This window comes from Homo sapiens, chromosome 2 (assembly GCF_000001405.40).
Source record: "Homo sapiens chromosome 2, GRCh38.p14 Primary Assembly".
Taxonomy (NCBI): domain Eukaryota; kingdom Metazoa; phylum Chordata; class Mammalia; order Primates; family Hominidae; genus Homo; species Homo sapiens.
Genome location: NC_000002.12, coordinates 165,446,749 through 165,468,295, shown reverse-complemented (window position 1 = coordinate 165,468,295; position 21,547 = coordinate 165,446,749). Strand labels below are relative to the sequence as shown.

At 35.1% G+C, this 21,547-nt stretch overlaps 1 annotated feature.

Annotated features, from left to right (window-relative positions):
- Positions 6,479-7,678: an enhancer, noted in NCBI's record as "BRD4-independent group 4 enhancer chr2:166317128-166318327 (GRCh37/hg19 assembly coordinates)". NCBI's record gives its function as "activates an origin of replication core promoter dependent on BRD2, P300/CBP, MED14 and CDK7 cofactors, and independent of BRD4, by STARR-seq in HCT116 cells {active_cell/tissue: HCT116}" and the evidence as "EXISTENCE:reporter gene assay evidence [ECO:0000049][PMID:35650434]".

Sequence of the window (21,547 nt, the reverse complement as noted above, 5' to 3'; positions counted from 1 at the left end):
CAAGTCCTCTGTTGTGAAAAATGCTTTCAAAGCCTTTGTGGTCCTATTGCTAGGAATAACTGGAGGAATCCCTAGGACAGACAGCATTTTTAGAAATAGTTGTTCGGGGCCATCTTCATCAGAACCACTAGGGGAAGATTCATTAAAAATGCAGGTTCATGGGCCTCCTCCAGATTTAATGAATAAGCATTTGAGGAGTTTCTGACTCAGCATTTTTAGCAAGCTCTCCCAGGTGATTTATATGTCAAGTGTGATTGTAGACAGAGACTTGTAGGCAAGTATTTGCAGGGCACAAATTCTAACCAGATTTCTTCTGTTTAGATGATGATGCCATTGTCTCAGAAAAAAAAAAAAAAGAGAGATTTAGAGATTTGGGAACAAAATAACAAAATTAATTTGAACGTTTTGAACTTTTTGGATATCCAGATTAAAATATTAAATAGTCAGTTAAACTCATAAATAAGGCTGGGATGTAGGTTCAATTTGGAACCCCCAGCATCTAGGGTTCGGTTAAAGTAATGAAAATAAATGAGCACCCTAAGGGTTTAATATAAAAATTTTATAAAGAACTCATAAAACTTAACAGTGGAAAAACAAACCCAATACAAAATGGACAAAAGGCCCAAATAGACATTTCTCCAAAGAAGACATAAAAATGGACAACAGGTTTATGAAAATATGCTCAGCATCACCAATCCTCAGGGCAATGTAAATCAAAATTACTAAGAAATACCACCTCATATTTATTAGGACGGCTGTTATCAAAATGTCTGCAGATAAATGTTGGAGAGAGTGTAGAGAAAAGAGTACTCTTGTACACTGTTGGTGGGAATGTCAACTGCTACAGCATTATGAAAAACAGTATGGATGATTGTAAAAAAATTAAAAATAGAACTACCATATGATCTAGCAATCTCTCTTCTGGGCATATACTCAGAAGTGGAATCACAACTTTGTAAAGATATCTGTATTACCATGTTCATTGCAGCATTATTCACAATAGCCAACATATGGAAACAACTTAAGCATTCATTGATGGACAAGGGGATAAAAATGTGGTACAAATACACAATGGAATATTATTCAGTCCTAAAAAATAGATCTTGCTTTTTGCCACTATGTAGATGAGCCTGGAGGACATTATGCTATGTGCTATAATCCAGACACAGAAATATTGCCTGGTCTCACTTATATGCAGAATCTTTGTAAAAAAAAAAATCAAATATATAGAGATAGAGAACAAAACAGTGATTACCAGAGGCAGGGACTGGGGGTATGGGAAGATGTAGGTCAGAGGATACAAAGAAGCATATATATATATATATATATGTATGTGTGTGTGTATATGTGTGTATATATATATATATATGATGAACAAGTCTAGAGATCTAATGTACAACATGAGGACTACAGGTAATGAAATTGTACTATGGGTTTCATGTAAAATAAGTAGATGTTAGCTACTCTTACCACAAAAACAACAAAAAAGTATAGCTATATGAAATGATGGATATGTTAGTTTGCTTCACTATAGCAAACTTTTACTAATTAAATATATATAAATATTGTGTTTAAGATAATATGAGGTTATGACATACATCGTGTTTAATTAAGACAATATGAGGTTACGTATGCCATATTTATATACATTTATTTTTTAAAAAAGAAAAACATCTTTAGCAGAATTAAAAATGCTGACTAAGAGACTCCACCCCATACCTACTGAATCAGAACCTTTGGAATGAAGCTTAGGGAGCTCCATTTTGATAACATTTTTCAGCTGACTTCCTTTGTACACTAAAGTTTGAGAATCATCACTCTAGGAAGAGGAGAAATAAGTTGAGAATGAAACTCAGGGAATTTACTTACCTTTAAAGAACAAGCAGAAAGCAGAATGAAGAAAAGATGCTTAGGAGGAACAGTTAGCGAGGAGGGAAGCCAGGAGAGAATGGTGTAGCAAAACCCAAAGGAGTAGAGAATTTCAGGAAGGTGAACGATTATGGTGAGGGCTAATGCCTTGCTATTCAAAGTGCAGTCCACTGATTCCAGCTTAGACATCTCATGGGAGCTGGTTCTAATGCAGAATCTCAGGCCCCACCCCAGTAAACTGAATCACAATCTGCATTGTAACAAGATCCACAAGCACACTCAAATTTTAGAAACATTGTTGTTACCTATGAAATTTGCAATTTGGTTCTTGGTGAACTGACAGTGAACAGTTTCAGTGGAGTGGTTGGGGTAGGGCAGGATGACTGCGGTGGTTGGAAAAACAGATGGAAGATAAAGAAATGGAGACAAGTACAGTGCTTTATATACACCCAGAACAAGGGTCTTCTAGCAAACACACTCATCACCAGACCATCTTTTCAATTCAGAGAAACAGAATAGGAGCAGAGGCAGAAAGTGAGCCTTGCTTGCTGCTGCAGGTCTCTACCTTACACCACTCATCAGACAGGCGTGACATGATGGGAATATCACAGGCTGATATTGATAGAGGGAGATGCTTTCCTAAGGAGCAGTGACAGTCAGGCCTTTGATGGCCACGGGAGCTCAGCTGCATGTTGCCTTGTTTGCCTGAAGCAAAGGTAATAGACCGTCTGAGAGTGTGTCTGAGTGACTTTAAAAATCTTTCATAACAAGAGAAATATTACAAAATTTCTAAAGGTTAAAATACCCTAAATTAAATAATAAAATATTCTTTAAAAGCTGAAAATAGAAATAAGCCTAAAGAGTAACATAATGGACAACTTTTAAGAAAGTCCAAAATTAGAGCAGGTTGTAATAGGAAGGGATTTCAATATGTTATGTATTAATTAAGTGAAGTTTCTTCCATTGAGCTGTAGAGGTAAGGTTTTGGGATAATATAATGACCACTAAGGAAATAGATGAGGCTTGGCACAGATCAAATGATTAAATAAAAATTTTTCATACCTAACTGTCCAAAGAGACTATCTTAATAAAACCTATATTTTTGAAAGTCAGAAATTTGTCAAGTGATTGGAATTGAAAAGATCTTAAGGAGTGGTAGTGCAGATGAATCAAAAATTATGTAGCTCAGAATCGAGAACACTCTTGTAAGAGACCAAAGTAATAAAAGTTAAGAGCTTCAAATTTGCTAAAAAAATAAGCTGAAGGATCAGTGGAACTATTTAATATCTCCAGTCTCATAACATATCAAGGGATATAAACAAAATAGAAAAAAATCATTTTTTATTCCAGTCTTCTTTGAGGAAGTCATTAACTGATTCCTAAATTGGTTTTTGAAATTGAGATTCAGAAGTATCAAATCCAAACATGATAAATAGCACTAAGACTACTCTTGACCTAATCAATACAGAGGAATAAGTAGATCAACAAATCCTGGTGGCAGCCATCCAAATGTTTGCAGAAACTCAAGGGTAAAATTAGGTACAACTGGCCAAAATATTTTACATGCTGCTATAAATTCCCAGAGGTGTTGAGAGACTAATAAACCACCAGTGTGGCCTATGTCCATGTGCAAAGACCATGATAATCAGACAGTAAGAGATGCTCAAAGATATTTCATAAAATAACTTATGTAGTGATGCAAATTAGTAAGAATTTATTCACTAGTTGCCTATAAAAATAACAATGCACTTCTAAAGTATGAATTCAGAGATGTTTATTGAGCATTTTTATGTGAAGACACTGTTCTTGGTACTAAGGTACTGCAGTAAACAAGACCAAGTCTCTGACTCTATGGAGCTACCATTCTGATGAATGAAAATTATATTTTAAATAATAATATACATAAAACATATGTATACAGTATAATATATACATATATGCTATAGAAGTAGTGTGCTGAATTGGTCAATGTGTAGAGAACCAAATTAAACAGCAGTCATACTTCCTGTCCTGGAGACGCATGCCAACAAAATGCTTAACAAAGAGGAGGATCGTGGACCATAGCAACAACTGGAATCTAAAAACTACTGCAAATAAGGCTGTTAATTTTACAAAATTAAGCAATGTTAACAAAATGTTCTCTTCTTTTACAATTTTTTTAAGAGACAAGGTCTCACCCTGTTGCCTAGGCTGGACTTGAACCTTGGGGAACCATCAGTCCTTCCACCTCAGCCTGTAGAATAGCTGGCATTGCAGGCACCAGTGTCCTCCCAGAGAACAGTAGATTATCTAAGTTTTCTGATCCTACTACATTTACAAGTAAACAAGAATAACCTATGAATAGCTTTCAAGTTAGCATGACTGAACAATAAAATAGTAGGTGATTTTCATTAGATACAAAGTTATAAGTTAAGAATAAGTAATTTAAACTTTAAATTGTGATGATGTTTGAATATCAATTGTAACTCAGAAAAAGGTTAACTTTAGACTGGTTCGTAAACACATTATTTCAAATTGTCCAAAAATATCCCCCCAGCCAACTTGTCTTCTGGAAAGGTATTAATGCAAATTTTATAGGAATAGGCTGATTTTATATAAAAATGTAGATTTTCCACACCTGAAATGCCATAGTAATTATTGGTTATCACATGTCAAGAAAGATACATAATGACAGGAAAACCTCTAAAGAAAGACAAACCAAGTGATCATTGGAATTAAGGGGTTTTGAATGAATTTGACCATGAGATTTAGATTTGAAACTGGTAAGACAAAAATGGAAAAAGGACACAACCCAAGTTTTAAAAATTTAAATGCAAATTTAAATTTTACTAATGTAAACAGAAGTTTCTTCACCAAATTGCAGGCAGCTTGAGCACTTGAAACGTAGGCAATCTCATAAACAATAAAAATACATAATTGTTTCTACTTTCTCATCTCCCTAACATTCCACATTTTAATTGCCCAACATGGATAGGAAATGCAGTGATTAGACTAGACTAGTTTCAAAATAATTTCAGTTTTATCTTCAAGGTTTGGAAATCATACATGAATTATACTTTATTTAATACTTAAATATGCAGAGCATAAGGTAGGGACTGGCAAATAATAGATGTTCAATAACATCTACTGGAAAAAGATACAAATCCACAGCAAGAGTAAGAATGGAGTTGGAAGGAAATGGAGAGAAAAGAAGAAAGCAAAGAGGATTGAGAGAGAGAGAGAGAGCACGTGAGTAAATCAGAACTGTACAGATAAATTGATATTGTCTTTACTTTGGCTGCCTCTTAGAATTATATTGAATAAGAATTTCAAACTCTCTGAGTAATGCCAGCTCCTGGAGCAAGGAGATGAGCTATAGATCTTAGAAATAAACAAGCAGTAACAGCCTCATACACCAGACCTGAGACTGATACTTTCCTTTGGTACTCGTCTATCTAATGATGCTCTGTCCAGAATATTCTGAGATAAATAAAAGTAGAGGAAAACAAAATAATGCCAAACTCCTTAATAGGAAACAATTTGGCAGGTGATAGTGAGAGAGAGCCCAACTAACATGGAAACATGCAATGAGCCTCTAAGATCCCTGCTGATTTTTGGTTAGGTAACAGAGCCAATAAGTTGAAAGGATGCTTGCATTTATGGCTGGTGAAGACTACAGAGACAGCCTTTACTAAAGTGTGAGTTGGCTTTCCCCCAAACATTACATTACCCTTGAATGGAAAATTGATCGGATGACATATGGTGATAACATCTGCCACCCATGGATAAAGCCGTAGTGCCATGTGGGTGGTAATGGAAGCTGTAATAGTGAGGGTGGAGAATTTAATGACAGTATGTAACACTGAGGAAAGTAACAGCACTCTGGAAGAAAGGAACAATTTGTGTAAATCTTTATGATGGGTACTACAGGACTACACATCCTGTTCTTCTGTAGTCATCCCAGAGTGAATGATAGAAATGAAAGCTGCTTCGTCATTTCATTATCTCCAAGTCGATCTGAGCCATAACCCCTATGGAGCTATTTCTCCCAGACAGTATTATGGGTAGGCACTCTTTCCTTTTCAATAAATAGATAATTATGTAACAAATTTGGGATGATAATAGCAAGAAATTGTAGCCATTTAAATTTATTTATATTAAAGACAAAAGTGAGGTCAAATACTTTACTTCAAAGAATGTATAAAAATATATTTAAATAAGAATTTTTGGAAATAAAACAAATGACAACATAATTAAGAATGCTATTGTATAAATGAAATATTTAAGCTTATTTGTTCTGTTTAATCCATACAAGAAGAAAATAAATGGTATATCCAGCTGCACATTGCAAACAGAAGAGTTTTATTTGCAAAACAGCAAAAAAAACATGGAAAATTTTTCCATGGTATACAGTGTGAGGTTTGGCCAAAGATGTCTATAAAATTCAAATATTCGAAATGGAAGCAGGTGTTCTGACGGACTTGGTAAGTAAAAATTATTCAGGTGAATTTTCTCCTTCACAACCACCAAAATGGCCTTAAAAACTAAGAATCCTAATATAATTTTTAAAAGCACTCTTGATTAGTTTATAGGTATTTCTATGTTTCATTAAATTCTGAAGAATGGTTTTTAGTTTTTCTCTTTCCTAAAGTGAGGGAAAGCAGCAGGTGGTTTATGGTGTAGCTCTGGTACACAGCAGACCTCAAATTGACTTCTTAAAGCAATCCATGGGCCAGGCACAGTGGCTCATGCCTGTAATCCCAGCACTTTAGAAAGCCAAGGAGGGTGAATCACTCGAGGTCATGAGTTCAAGGCCAGCCTGGCCAACATGGTGAAACCCGAACTCTGCTAAAAATAAAAAAATTCACCTGGTGTGGTGGCACGCGCCTGTAGTCCCAGCTACTTGGGAGGCCGAGGCAGAATAATCACTTGAACCCGGGAGGCAGAGTTTGCAGTGAGCCGAGATTGCGCCACTGCACTCCAGCCTGGATGACTGAGTGAGACTCTGTAAGAAAAAAAGCAATTCATGGTGAGTAACGAAATGTCTGGACTGATTTTTCTGTCCTTCTCTTACCACTCTTACATGCATATTTTGAAGCCTTTTCATCCTACTAGTTTTTCTTCCTATCTTCATTTGGGGGAAAAAAAATAACAAGATTTTAAGTTCTGATCTTGCCAAAGCAGATGCTATGAGGTATTTATCATTACCATTATTAATTAATTTATTATTTTCTAATAAAGTCCAGTTTTCAGTTGTAAATTTATTTAAAGCAGAGGATTAGGGATAAACTCTTGGCCAGGCATAGTGGCTCACACCCGTAATCACAGCATTTCAGGAAGAAGAGGCAGAAGGATCCCTTGGAATTCGAGACCAGGCTGGGCAACATAGAGAGACCTTGTTTCTACTAAAAAACAAAAACAAAAACAAAAACAAAAAAAACTTAGGCATGGTGGCACAGGCACTTCAGCCTGAGCAACAGGCAACAGGGCAAGACTCTATCTCTAATGATAATAATAATAAGCTCTTAAGCTTACAAATGAATAAACAAATATGGTGTGTTTTGTGATATTTAAGTGTTTGAAGCAAAACAGCAGTTGATCTATGAGAGGTATATATCATTAGCTTTGTCTTGTGTGTTTTAGGAAAAATTAGCATCTCACCTTTGTTTTGTGGATTTCAGAGAAGACTCTTCTGGACTGAGAAATATACACTCACTTCAAGAGAAATAAATGCTTGAATGTCTATCATGGTAAAGAACTGGTACTAGTGCAATAATAGAGAAAATAACATAAGGTCAATTGTCTAATTGTGAAGATAAAAATACACTTTAATATTATGAAAAATCAATATGTCAATTATTATTTTATAATATAATCATATGTTATAATTAAAGTGCTGGAGAGTCATAAAACTATATATTTTTTATAATGTACATGAGAAACATTTGGGACCCCAGCTAAAATCAAACTCCTGGTTCTTACCTCACACCCGCGAAATAAAAATCATGAAGTTTCTGTCTCAGAAATATGTATTTTTATAAGGTAAAGGACATTACATTTTAACTGTTTATTAATGATAATTTTAAACAAATACAAATTTAGAAAGAATAGATACAATAATTTCCATGTGTACTTCACCAAGTTTCAGTAATAACCCATGATTGTTGTTGTTTCCTTCAGACCCTATCCACTTCTACCCCATTATATTAAAGCACACTATGGGCTTCATATTATTTTACCCATAAATATTCATTATTTAAAAGAACCAGAAAAAATAACTGATAAAAGAAATCATAGATAACACAAACAAATGGAAAAACACTCCATATTCATAGATTAGAAGAATCAATGTCATTAAAATGACTGTTCTGCCCAAAGCAATCTACAGATTCAATGGAATTCCTATCAAATTACCAATGTCATCTTTCACAGAGTTACAAAAAAGTATTCTAAAATTCACATGGAGCCACGAAAAAGCCCAAATAGCCAAAGCAATCCTAAGCAAAAAGAACAAAACCAGAGGTATTACATTGCCTGACTTTAAACGATACTACAAGGCTGTAGTAACCAAATCAGCATGGTACTAGTACAAAAATAGACACAGAGATCAATGTAACAGAATAGAGAACACAGAAATAAAGCTGCACATCTACAATCAACTGATCTTCAACAAAGTTGACAAAAAGAAACAATGGGGAAAGGACACCCCACTCAATAAATTGTGCTGGGAAAGCTGGCTAGCCATATGCAGAAGAATGAAACTGTACCTCTACCTCTCACCATAAACAAAAATTAACAAGATGGATTAAAGACTTAAATTAAGGCCTCAGACTGTTAAAAAAAATTCTAGAAGTAAACCTCTTCTGGACATTGGAAATGCCCAGAATTTGGGCAAGAATTTTGGCAAAAAATTTATGACTAAGCCCTTAGAAGCAAATGCATCAAAAACAAAAATTGACAATTGAGACTTACTTAAGATATTCTGCATAGCAAAAAAAAAAAAAAAATCAACAGATTAAACAAACAACCTACATAATGGGAGAAGATATTTTCAAACTATGCATCTGACAAAGGACTACTATCTAGAATCTATAAAGAACTTAAATCAATAAGAAAAAAACTCACTAAAAAGTGGGCAAAGGACATAAACAGACACTTCTTAAAAGAAGATATACAAGTGGCCAACATGAGAAAATGCTTATCACTAATCTTCAGAGAAATGCACACTAAAACCACAATGAGATACTATCTCACACCAGTCAGAATGGCTATTATTAAAAAGTAAAAAAATAATAGATGTTCGTGAGGATGCAGACAAAAGGGAATGCTTATACACTGTTGGTGGGAATGTAAATTAGTTCAATCCCTATAAAAAAACAGTATGTAGATTTCTCAAAGAATTGGAATTGAACTGCCATTTGACCCAGCAATCCCACTACTGGCTATATACCCAAAGGAAAAGAAATTGTCCTATCAAAAAGACAGCTATACTCATATGTTTATTGCAGCACTATTCACAATGGCAAAGTCATGGAATTAACCTAAGTGCCCATCAACCATAAATTGGATAAAGAAGATGCAGTAGATATACATCATGGAATACTATGCAGCCATAAATAAGAATGAAATCATGTCCTTTGCAGCAACATGGATGCAGCTGGAGGCCATTATCCTAAGTGAATTAAAGTGAATTGATGTGGAAACAGAAAATCAACTACCACATGTTCTCATTTAAAAGTGGGCACTAAACAATGGGTACATATGGGCACTAAGATGGAATCAATAAATACAGGGAACTCCAAAAGTGGGGAGAAAGGGAGAGGGGCAAGGGGTTGAAAAAATACATATTGGGTAGGGCACTATTTTCACTATTCAGGTAATGGGTTCAATAGAAGCCAAACTCCAGCATTATGCAACACACCCTTATAACAAGCCTAAAAACATACCCCTGAATCTGAAAAAAATTTTAAAAATTATCTAAAAGACAAGGAAACTTCTAAAAATACCTTTATTCCATATAAAAAATACACAGTTGGTGTTCACATTTCTCCAAATGTCTCATGAGTGTTTTCTAGATTTTTGTTGAAATCAGCATCCAAAGAAAGTCCATTCATACATAGCACACTGCAAATGGTCTCTTTTAACCTACAGGTTGCCCTGACCCACCTCCCTTTCTCTCTCTCTTTCTCTCCTGCTGTAATTTATTTGTTGATGAAGCCATAGCCTTTACTCTGTAGAGTTTTCCGTGGTCTCAATTTTGCTGATTGCTTTCCCAATGTGTTATTTAATATGTTCCTCTGGTACTTAAATCTAGATGTTTGGTTACCTTCACACTTTATTCCTAGATTGTGTATGTAGTGTTAGTACAAGTTTGGGTTGATTTTCTTTTTATGATGTTAGGTATTCATAATCATAACACATCTATAATTTTATCTGAAGCTGAAAATTAATGATAACCAAATCTTATTATTCCTTGTACATTTAATAGCAAATTGAGAAACTTTGTTCATTTTTTGTTTATTCTGAGTTAATAATTCATAGGGGAAAGAGAATAAATCTTATTTTTCCCTTTCTTCGCCACTTTTGAAAGAATGAGATACGATAGGCTAAAGAGTATATGCATACTCAATTTTGTTGGAATTTACTAATTCCTTATTTACGAGGTTCTGTGCTTTCGTATGACCACCAGCAACCATGTTTGAGGGTATTTGTTTCATCACAAACTTGACAACAGAGTATGTTGTGGATGTTTTCCTGAAAAAGGTAAAATATATGCTAGGATTTTAATTAGACTGGATGGAGGATATATTTTGTTTCCTTTGTTTTTTTGTGTTTGTTGTTTTGCTTTTTTTTTTTTTTTTCCGAGGCAGGAAAAAAAAATAAAACATTACAAAAATGTTTTCTGTCATCCAGCCTAGAGTGCAGTGTTGCAATCTCAACTCACTGCAGCCTCTGCCGCTGGGGCTCAAATGATCCTCCCACTTCAGCCTCCTGAGTAACTGGAACTACAGGCGTGCACCACTATGTCCAACTAATTTTTGTATTTTTTGTGGAGATGGGGTTTTGTCATGTTGTCCAGGCAGATCTTGAACTCCTGGGCTCCAGTGATCCTCCCACCTTGGCCTCCCAAATTGCTGGAATTATAGGTATGAGCCACTGTGCCTGGCTCAAGCATTTTTATTATTCCATTTTCTCCTTTACACATTCTTTTACCACTTAAATAGTGATTAGTCTACAGCCAACATTTATTAAAGTTTAATATAAATAAGTACTTTTATCCTTTTCCCAAAAATGTAAGAATTACTTATCTTTTTCTAAGTTTTTTGTCCTACTGTTGTGATGGATTTTAATTTTAGTTTTTCATACATTTAAACCTCATAGGAATTTACTATTTTTTAAACAGTGTATATCCATTTAGTGTAGGCACATATTTATAATTTGTATTGTTCTTTTTTCAGTTTTATGTTATTGCATGAAATCATTTTCCTGTTGCCTAAAGAAATTTCTTTGATATTTCTATGGGTGCAGGTCATCTGATGATAAATTTAGTATCCTTTCTTTCAGTATTCTTAATTTTTCATTTTAAGCAGTTTTACTGTGATTTATTTTTTATTTATTAATTTGTGCTATTTATCTTGTTTGGGATTGTAGTGCTCCTCAAATCTTTGGTTTCTTTCATCAGCTTTGGAAAGTTCTTTGTCTTTGAATATTCTCTCTCTTCTCATTTTCTGTCTTCCACTTTTGATGCTTCAGTTTCGTATATGTTAGACCATTTCACTATGTCATATGTATTGACTCTCTGCTTATGTATATCTTCCATCATTTTTTCCCTTTACTTTAGTTTGGATATTTTCTTCTAACTTTTCTTCCACCCTATTAATTCTCTGTTTAGCTATATCCAGTCTGTTACTAAACTCATTTATTGAGTTTTCAAACTTAGTATGCTTTTTTAATTCTAAAATTTTTATTTGCTTTTCTTTTATAGGTTGCAATTTTATATTAAAATTCTTTATCTTTTCATCTATTTTAAGGTACATCTTAGTCACCGTGGTTTTAAAATCTCTTTCTGGCAACTTTGGTTTGTGGATTAAGAACTGTTTCCTGCCAGGCTTTCCAGATCCTTGTCCTGTGCTGAGAGTCAGCAGATGTCCCAAGGGGAGAAGTGGTGCATAGAAAGTTGGGCTGAACTCAATTGCAGCTCAATTCAGTCTCCTCTTTTCTCCAGGATCTGGTTCCACAAGTCCTGGCTGCCTTGACAGCTCTCCAATTTCCTCAGAACTAAAAAAAATAAAAAAGAAATTTTTAAAAACTGTTTCTTCCTGGTTATTCTCAGGAGATAGATACATCATCTGCTGCAAGCTACTGCATTGTGTCTGGAACTGAGAGTTTGGCTCAAGAGGCAAATGATCTTAAGAGACAATATGAAAAATAGTTTGATCTTAAGAGACAATATGAGAAATAATTTTATAACCAAAACAGATATAAAAGATATGATAATAATAATAAATATTGCTGTTAATATGTTAAATGATATTATCCTTTTCCCATCAAGAAGACAAGATTTTAAGCCTGTTACCCTATATTTTATGCTGATGATAGTAATGAAATTGTATTCATTTCTCAATGCCCTAATCCTTCATACTATATGCTAAGTTTAGTACTAGCAATAAGTTCCTTGTATTGCATACCAAGTTTCTGCCAGGAACTTAGCTACCTATCTACCTATAGTATTTATAGAATTTTACTTTAACAGTAAAATGTCTTCATTTTTTACTAGCACCTCCATTTTTTATGAGAAAAAGTCAAGGTTTGAACTCAAATCTGTCTTTTACACAATAAAATACTGCTAAATGTATGAAAATCTATTTATTATAAAAAATACATTGATAAATTTAGGAATTAGATCTGGTAGTAATTCCTGCAACTACTAAAAGTTCTGAAATGTTTTAATTTTATTTGCAGCTTTTCAATATATAATTTAAGTTTAGTTTCTGAAACTGCTGCTAAGAAGATATACTATTTTCATAGGCAGTTCATATACATAAAATACAATATATGTGTATTAAATTCTTTTAGATAATATCCCTTTTAGCATGTTGAAAAGAATTATGTATTTTAAAATATTTCACATGCAATATGGATGTAATATGGCACTTACTTTTTTTTTTGTCTTCTTTCCTATTCTATCAAATGCAAACGCTATAATTTTCCTGTAAGTTTTTTTTTTTCTCTTTGGCAACACAGCTTTGGCCCCAGAAAGAGATGTTCAAGAGCTCTCTCTTATGTTTCCACTTTCAGACCTTCAGAGTTGTGGGGTATTTATCTACAGGTCCAAGTACACAATTGCATAGGTAAGCATTTATACCTGGGAAAATAAAAATTTTGCCAAGGTAAATTTTTCCTCTCATGCTTTGTTAGGGTTTCTGTATGATTTAGTTTTAGCTGATTTTTGCCTCAAAAGCAAAGTTGTCTTTACCTGGCTTGCAAAAGCCTTGGGTTTTTCTTTGAGCCTGGATGGCAAGTTTATCTATATGAGATATTTCCAAACTGTTAAAGGATAAATAAATCTTATTCAATATTTCTACAAAGTCTAACTTGAGCCCAGGTCACTTGAAAATACCTACAGATAGACAACACTCAATAATGAGGGAAGAGAATAGGAATCATAAAGGAAGGTTAGCAATTCTATGCCTCGTCTGATAGCTGGGCATATAAATAAGCTAAGTCTTCAGTGGTTACCAGTCTCCTGGACTTCCACCTTATATGGAGCCCAGACTCACCTGTTGGTCCTCTTTGCTTTTGACATACTCATCTGGCTCAAGCAGCTGCAAAAGGAGTCCTTGGTCTGCCTCTAACTTCTAGACCTTTCCTTAAAGTTACCCAAATAACTGTGGTGGTGTTGTGTAAGAAGGCTGTAGGAGATCCTCGCCTCTAGATCTCTTCCTTTTAATACACCAGGCTCACACCAAGAGGGAACTGACAAAATAAATACACCTAGGGTTGCAAAGCAGACAATGCTCCTCATTTTTCTTTTTTATGATTCCTATCTGTGCACCCTTCTCCAACCAGAAAAGAATCTTGGATTGAACATTCTGTGAGTTCCTCTGAGAAACTTTATTTTTAAAATTTTTATTTCTTGGGCTTTCCAAGGTAGACATTTTATAAGCTTTCTAGATAATTGGGCCCGAGAAATGAGAAATAACTTTTTGGCACAGAGTAAACAAATTGGTCTTGGGCCAATCTTGGTCTCTAGGAAAGATGGCTTAAAAAGGAAATCTAAGATAGCTATGAAGTAGGAATGGGCAATGACGAAATAGGCATGTTTCTTTTTAAAATGTCATTGGTAGGATAGAAAAATACGTGTTTTTCCAAAGATGAAAACACGATTATATCATGGTTTGCTCCCGTTTTAAGTCTTCAGACTCAAGTTATGGAGAGAGAAAGAAAACCCCACCTTATTTTCATGAGGTGTTGCCCAGTGTATTCTACCCTCTCCCTTAAATTCTGATGTGTGAAACAAACATTCATAGCCAGATAGCTCCCTAGTTACCGTGCAGGCGCAGCTGCTGAACATAGCACTGTTGCAACTAGTTTTGACACCAGCCATTTGTGCTTGAAGAAATGTCTAATTTTTGGCTTCCCTCAGATGGTTTCACACTCTTATAGCAAGTGGGGTTTTTATTCTAACACTCATTTTGGGTCAAACTACACCCACTTTTGGGAACCCACCAACACAAATGTTAATAATATGCAGATCTGGCCTTTCCTAAGATGGCACTGCATCAGCCAAACTTCATTTCCTGGGGAGGTTGCTAAGAAAATCATTAATCTTGCCAAATTTCACTAATGTGCTGAGTAGACCTGATGTTATCATATGGGTGTTTATCTGGAGCCAAATCTCTGTACATACATATTGATTATCTCCTTTTTTGTGTGTTTTTCCTGACTACTAATTTCCATAAAAATAGTTTGAATGGTCTCAACAACGTGCGTTCCCCTTAAACAATATCAATCACAATATTTTTGTGTAATTTCTCACATGAAAGTCAAATAACTTTCCATTCTTAAGAAATAGTCACATGACTTAACCCAGACTGGTTCCTCTGTTGGTTATGATGGGTCATCTGATCTACCTCTGTGAAATTAGATTGCTTTTCAAAAATTGCCAAACTAGGCACTTCCCTCTGGATGTCTCAAAAGCTGCATGCCTTCCCTGCCTTATCACCTGCCACAACTTTGTTTTCTGAAATTCTAAACTCATTATTACTTTGTAATTACGTGATGCTCTCTCACTCCCGTGTGTTCATACATTTTCTTTCTTCTAGTCCTTTACACTGAAAAGCTTGGCAAAATTCCACTTAGCTGCAGAAATTCAGATAGGACTCTGAAGCCTTTCCCCTTTCTTTCAGAAACACTGAGCTTCAGGGTCTCCTTTCCCTCTGCCGCTACTGTCCTTGGTATCACCTCCACTGTAGAAATATTGTTAGCATGTGGTAATGGTTTGTTTCATGCCTGATGCAATGAGCAGAAAATTTATTTTAGGGTATATATTAAATATAATATATAATACTATAGTATGAAAAAAGATTTTCTTCTTCCAGAAGTGAGAATAAATACACTTAATAGTAAGACTTTAATAATAGAAATGAGCATTTCATCACAAAAGTAGTAACTGGTGCATATTAAACACTCCATAAACAACACCGAATAAAGGAACAATGTGGTTGTGTTGACCTCTCTTTAAAATTTTTAGGTCTTGATGTTGCAGCAGTAGTGAACAGCAAAGCAGTTTGAGCAAGTAAAGCTTAAAATAGTACAACAGCTTGGGTGCCACAATGTGCACAGTGCCCAAGGTAAAAGCAGAAATGCTGAGCACTGAAGGCTTAGATGAAAGTTGCCACCTAATAACTTCTTCTGGAAACATTCAAAGAAACCAACCTGGGGGGAAAAGTAAGAAAGAAGGAAAGAAAGGAATGGGGGGAGGGTGGGGGAGAAGGAAGAAAGAAAGGAAGGAAGGAAGGAAAGGAAGGAAGGAAGGAAGGAAGGAAGGAAGGAAGGAAGGAATTGTATAATAGCAAGGCTGGCAAATAGAGATTAGCCAATTCCCACCTCGCCGAGTTTTTTCCCTTATTATTTTTATAAGGTGGATAAATTTTGAGAAGCAATTGAATTTTATATACATAAAATCAAGTACATGTACATACCCCATCCCCAAGCACACACATTTTATTCATTTATTTCTGTGCTAAGTCAAGATCAGTGGTGTGTTTTCTATTTAATAGCATGCCTGCGAAAGAGACTATTTCTGATAAAGATACTACAAAAGATCAATACAGCATTCCTTAAACACAATATCCACTCTGGGAAAATATTAAAAAGATGTATGCGTGTTCTAGTGAGAAGGGATAGAGGAAGTTTTCTTACTTTATTCCTTCAGTTTCTGAGTAGTTGCAACTAAAGCTATGAGGCTGAACTGGGCCAGATAATAAAAAAAGCTTTGTCAAAGAAAAGCAACCACTTTCCTATCGTTACTCAAGCAATCGTACAGTGTGGAGGGTGAGCTGTCAGAGTGATCACCTCATTATTTTCTTTCAAAACCCAAACAACGGATTCCACAAACGCATGGCAAATATCAATAGAAATGGAAATGATATATTTATAACCCAATAGGACCTATTTCATGATGGTCTTAATGATTTCATTAGGTTGCCAAGTAGGAAAGAATTAAAAGACAGAGGGAAAAAATGTCAGAGAAAGAGAAAAATCATAAGGATGTATAGTGCTTATAGCAAACAGATCAAAAGCATATTGATAAAAGCCACATAGAAATAACAGCAGCAGTATTGTTTACTCATTGCTGTGCAGTTAGATAAAATATGTTTAAGCATTTTCCAGAGTTAATCGTGTATTATTTACTCATTCACTCAACTGATGGGAGTGATCATGAATTATATTTCTGAAAAAGGGAAAGATGCATTTATAGAATAAGAAATAAACTCCTGGTGCATTTATGAACAAGAACTTTAAAGGCATGAGCTCATTTAATTCCAATGACACTTCAAGATAGGTATTACGACCTCACATTTACAGGTGGGAAAATGAGATCAGAGAAATTCGGTAATTTGTGTGAATTAACCCCATTAGGAATTTAACACAGAAACATCTGGCTCTTAAAAATATTTCACTAATCCCTTTGAAAAACCATGTAGAATGAGTCTTTTCCCAGTAAAAGACATACACACAAAACCTGTCCATAGATTTCCCCCACTGACCAATCCCACCTACAGTCAGATAAGATCCAGGGTCATATCTTGCTTCCTCAGAGTGAATGCTCACTCACCCCAAGCAAGCATTTTTCTTCCCTAGAATTAAAATCTTAGTAGTAAACAAGAGATTTTTTAAATTAAGTACGTGGATATAGACAGCTTACTATCAGATTGTTTTTAAGATCTGCATGATAACTTCAAAGGAAAATGCTAAAATGGTTGAAGTAAGACTTGATGATGCCATACACATCAATATAAAACACATGAGTAAAGTGCATTAAGGCTCACATCTTTTTTCAACACAGTAGAATCTCAAGCTTCTAGGATCAATAATTGTATGAAACTGGTGAACAAATACTAGAACACTATTGTGCCATGTAAATGGCATTGTATATTCACAGTAAAAACCTATTTATTGACATTGAAAGAGTACATATAAGTTAACGTTTGTGTGTGTGTGTGTGTGTGTGTGTGTGTGTGTGTAGAGAAAGTTCTAGAAGAATATATTGAAATGTTGAAATTTTTATTTATGGAGATAAGGTAATTTTTAAAAATTTCCTTATGCCTATTTGCATTTTCAAAGTTTTATATAATAAGTATGCATTATATAAAATTACTTAATAATTTAGCATAATACATCATTGCTCAAATGTCAAAACTTCATGAACATTGAAATCCTTTTCTTAAAGCCAAAAGTTAGCTTTATGACTTGGAATCATTTTCTGCACACAGATATTCCACCAATTTAAGCTCAGAGAGAAGTAAGAGTCTTTGGCAGGAAACAGCACCTTCCTGCTAGTGTTCTGTCAGAAAAACATTAATCTTGACTTCAGTGCGGGGTGACATCTAGTGAAGTGTTTCTGCAAATGATTGCTGGTTATTACCATCATTGTTCTTTCTCTTGCCTCTTTTCTTTCAGTATACAGTCCTTAACATGCCTGTTCCTTTACAAAGCATGCATGTTTCCCCAACCTAAAGAAGGCAGTATTTGAGCTGTGCATATGCATATGAGAGTCCTTATTTTGTGCACCTTGGCAAGAGAGAGCTTTTCTGTGTGCCATGTAAATAACACACACTTTTTTCTCTGGAAAACAATGGTAGAGCCTCAGATTTTGGATTATGATTCACCTAGCTTTTCATCTGTTAGTAAATAATAAGGTAACATCATAGTTGCTAAGGCTTAAGAGAGTTAGGAAGTCAGTATCTATAGTCAGCCAACAGGTTAAAGACCAACACTATCCCCACTAATACGCTTCAGTTTTGAGGAATAGTCAACTATTCCTGAGAGGGGCAAATAGGGGCCCTTAATCTTTTGGTTTCAGGCAGATAGACTAATAATCAATACTGAAATTACAGATCAAGACTGGATGAGTAAGACCAGTAACTTAGCTATGAAATGGAACCTGTTGTCTACAGTCAGGATTGCTCCTAAAGAATAGGGCAGGTAGAAGTCAAGTTGCCTCGGAAATGGGGAAAACATACCATAGGCAGAGCTTGACAATATGTGGAAATAGATAGTCCTTTGGAATTATCTTACAGAATTTAGTGTAGTCCCTCTCCATGTTAATGTTTAAATTATCAGAGTTTCATTTAACAGCATACCCATAGTTGTGAATTATTGATGTAAGTTTGGGGATCATGACTCTTCTGGATTTTAAAAGAAATTTTGACATCACAAACACTCTTGGCCAGCCATAACAGAGATTTAAGCACTGGATATTCTGTAGTATCATTCTTGTACTAAAAAAATGTAAGATCCATGAAGCTCTATCAACCTCAGAGAGTGGGATGGGCAAGGGGAAGTGGTGGGACAGAGAAGGATGGGAGTCACATGACAAAGCTTGCTAGTTGTCCTAAAGAAGCAGTTATTATATGTTACAATATTTGCCCTAAAGCATAAGGTTGTCTGTAGGTTCCATAGTCATAAAATTCAGATGGTAGTCAATAAATACCAAAGGAGTAAAAGAAACAGGTTGAACATACAAAAATAAGATATTAAAGTAGCATACTAAAAAATCCACAGAATTAATAAAATTGCCTTAAGAAAAAGTTAAGATATCATTACATATCCATTAAATGAGCAAAAGCTATAAGAATCCATTGGTGACAGGTTACGGTAAAAAGGTAGGCATATATTTTAAATGCCATTGTAAATTGATTCAAATTTTCTGCAAAGCTATTTGTAACAAAAAGCTATATAATGTTTTTTTTTCCTTTGACCTAGTAATTTCACTTTGGGGAATGTATTCCCAGAAGATAATCTTAAAGCAAACAAGTAATTTGTTCCAAGCTGTTCGTACAAAGCTGTTTAAAAAAGGAAAATTTGAAAAGAATTCAAATGTCCAATAATAAGCGATTGTCCAGTGAAACTCATGTTTGATACCATGGGATACTAGCTGGTTTATTAAGTCATATGCACTTTGTCCATACAGATGCATATTCACAGTAAATTATTAAGTGAAATAAGAACAAGATCCATATGGGAAACCTGATTAGAGTAATAAATACACATGCATGTGCATGACGAGACTAGGAAGTAAAGGGAGGGAGGGAATACAGATTTATTAATATCTTGAGGACCTCTGTGTTCCAAGGTCTTTACATAATTCATCTCTTTTAATCTCTGAGCAACTTTGTGAGACAGATTTTATTTATCCTGTTTCTACTCAAGAAATCAAGTGGTTTGACTATGGTCATGCAGCTGGGAAAGTGATGGAGTTGGAATGAGAACTGTGTCTGGGATTCAGAAGTTCGTGGCTTCCCAGTTCGTTATGTTGAACACATTTTCTGAAGTTCTTTTTAAAAAACACTAGTCTCATCTCATGATCATTCAAAATGGATTGATTGGTTGAATACATTTGAAAAGTGTGTTAAAATATATCCTCCTAATGTTAATTAGCACAAACTTTTGCAATCTTAGAGTAAATAAGCCAGTTTACATTTGTTTAAGACAGCATTTCCCACACCAGTAAATCCTGTGTGCATGTGTGTGTTAACTGTTTGTTATGTGTGTGTGGCATACTGTTTGTTCCCAGTTCTGCAGAACAGTTTGGGAAACACTGATTTAAAGTGTTGTCCTCATTAGATGTATTCTTTTAAGTTTAAATATTAAAGCATCTACATTTATAAAAGTTAATTATCCCTACTGTGTATGTAAACCTCTATCTGAAGGTGCTCAGGGGATTAAATGCAAATTATGGAATTGCTCAGAACTCAAATGTAAATAAATCTATGTATCCATATTTTCTCTTAACTTTAGAGTGATAAGTGGCAACTCTAAATATTAAGACAGAAAATTACCATGGAATCCCTGGAGTTAGTCTCCCTTGGAGGAGCAAGTACATGGCAAGTTGTCCTGTAGATAAGGATAATAAAAATTTTGATGCTTTCAGGGTCAAAAAATTAGCTATCAAAGTAGACAATGAGGAAAAAGTAGAGGATGAGGATTCTGAGTCCATGAGGTGGCACTTTCTGAAAACAATACTAACCCAACACCTTGAGGGGTGATTGTGTTGGTAAACATAAAGAAATAAACTCTAAGAACTATAACCCTCTGGTTAGACGACTGCTGTTTATCCCAAAAGCATCACTTCAAGGCTTGTGGCAGTGACCATACTAGAGGATCCATCCTTTCCCTCTGTTGCTGACCTTTGGGTTCAAGCATTGCATTTACAGAAAGCCAATTCTGAAGCCATCACAAGGCATCACAAATAGAGGGCTCAGATGTGTGGTTTACCCCATAATCTGTATCAGCCTCTCATGCCTCCATAATTTCTTGTATTGCAAAAAAAGCTTTGTCTAGGGAGTGTTTTTTGCTATGCAATTATAACATTAAGACAGTTTTTGAAGGACTATTCCCATTCCCACCATGTACAAATTCTGGTGTTGTCTCTGGAATGATCTTATACTAGGCTCTACTCTGACCATCTTTTTCAGCATGTCCAGCAAGTGGTTCCTGGTTCCATCAATGCTCCTATCTCCTCTACTTCTTACATCTGAGCTTTGAGAAAATTGAAGAATCTTTAGTTTTAGAGACCCAGGCCACTTTACCTAGCAGCCCTGCCACAGAACAAGGAAAATTGACACCTGGATGGTGGTTATGAACTAAACCATCTTTGGCACTTAGAATGCAATTAGCTAAGGCTTTATAGATTCTCTCTTCAGTTGTCAGCATGGCAATATGGGACTGAGATGGATTGGTTGTTCTTCATGAGATCTTGATTCTGGATATCCTGGAATGCATTACAGGGCCTGGTGTGGGGATTTAGAGGAGGACTTAGTCCACTTCTGGACCTATTACTATTTCCACCATATTTTCATCATGTGTTATTACCACTATGTGGAGATAAACTGGCTAAGATGTCTGTGTGCCCACCTCCCAGAGTAATTCAGTAGAAATCTCTGGCCGTTGATTGAGCACTGGTATTTGTTTC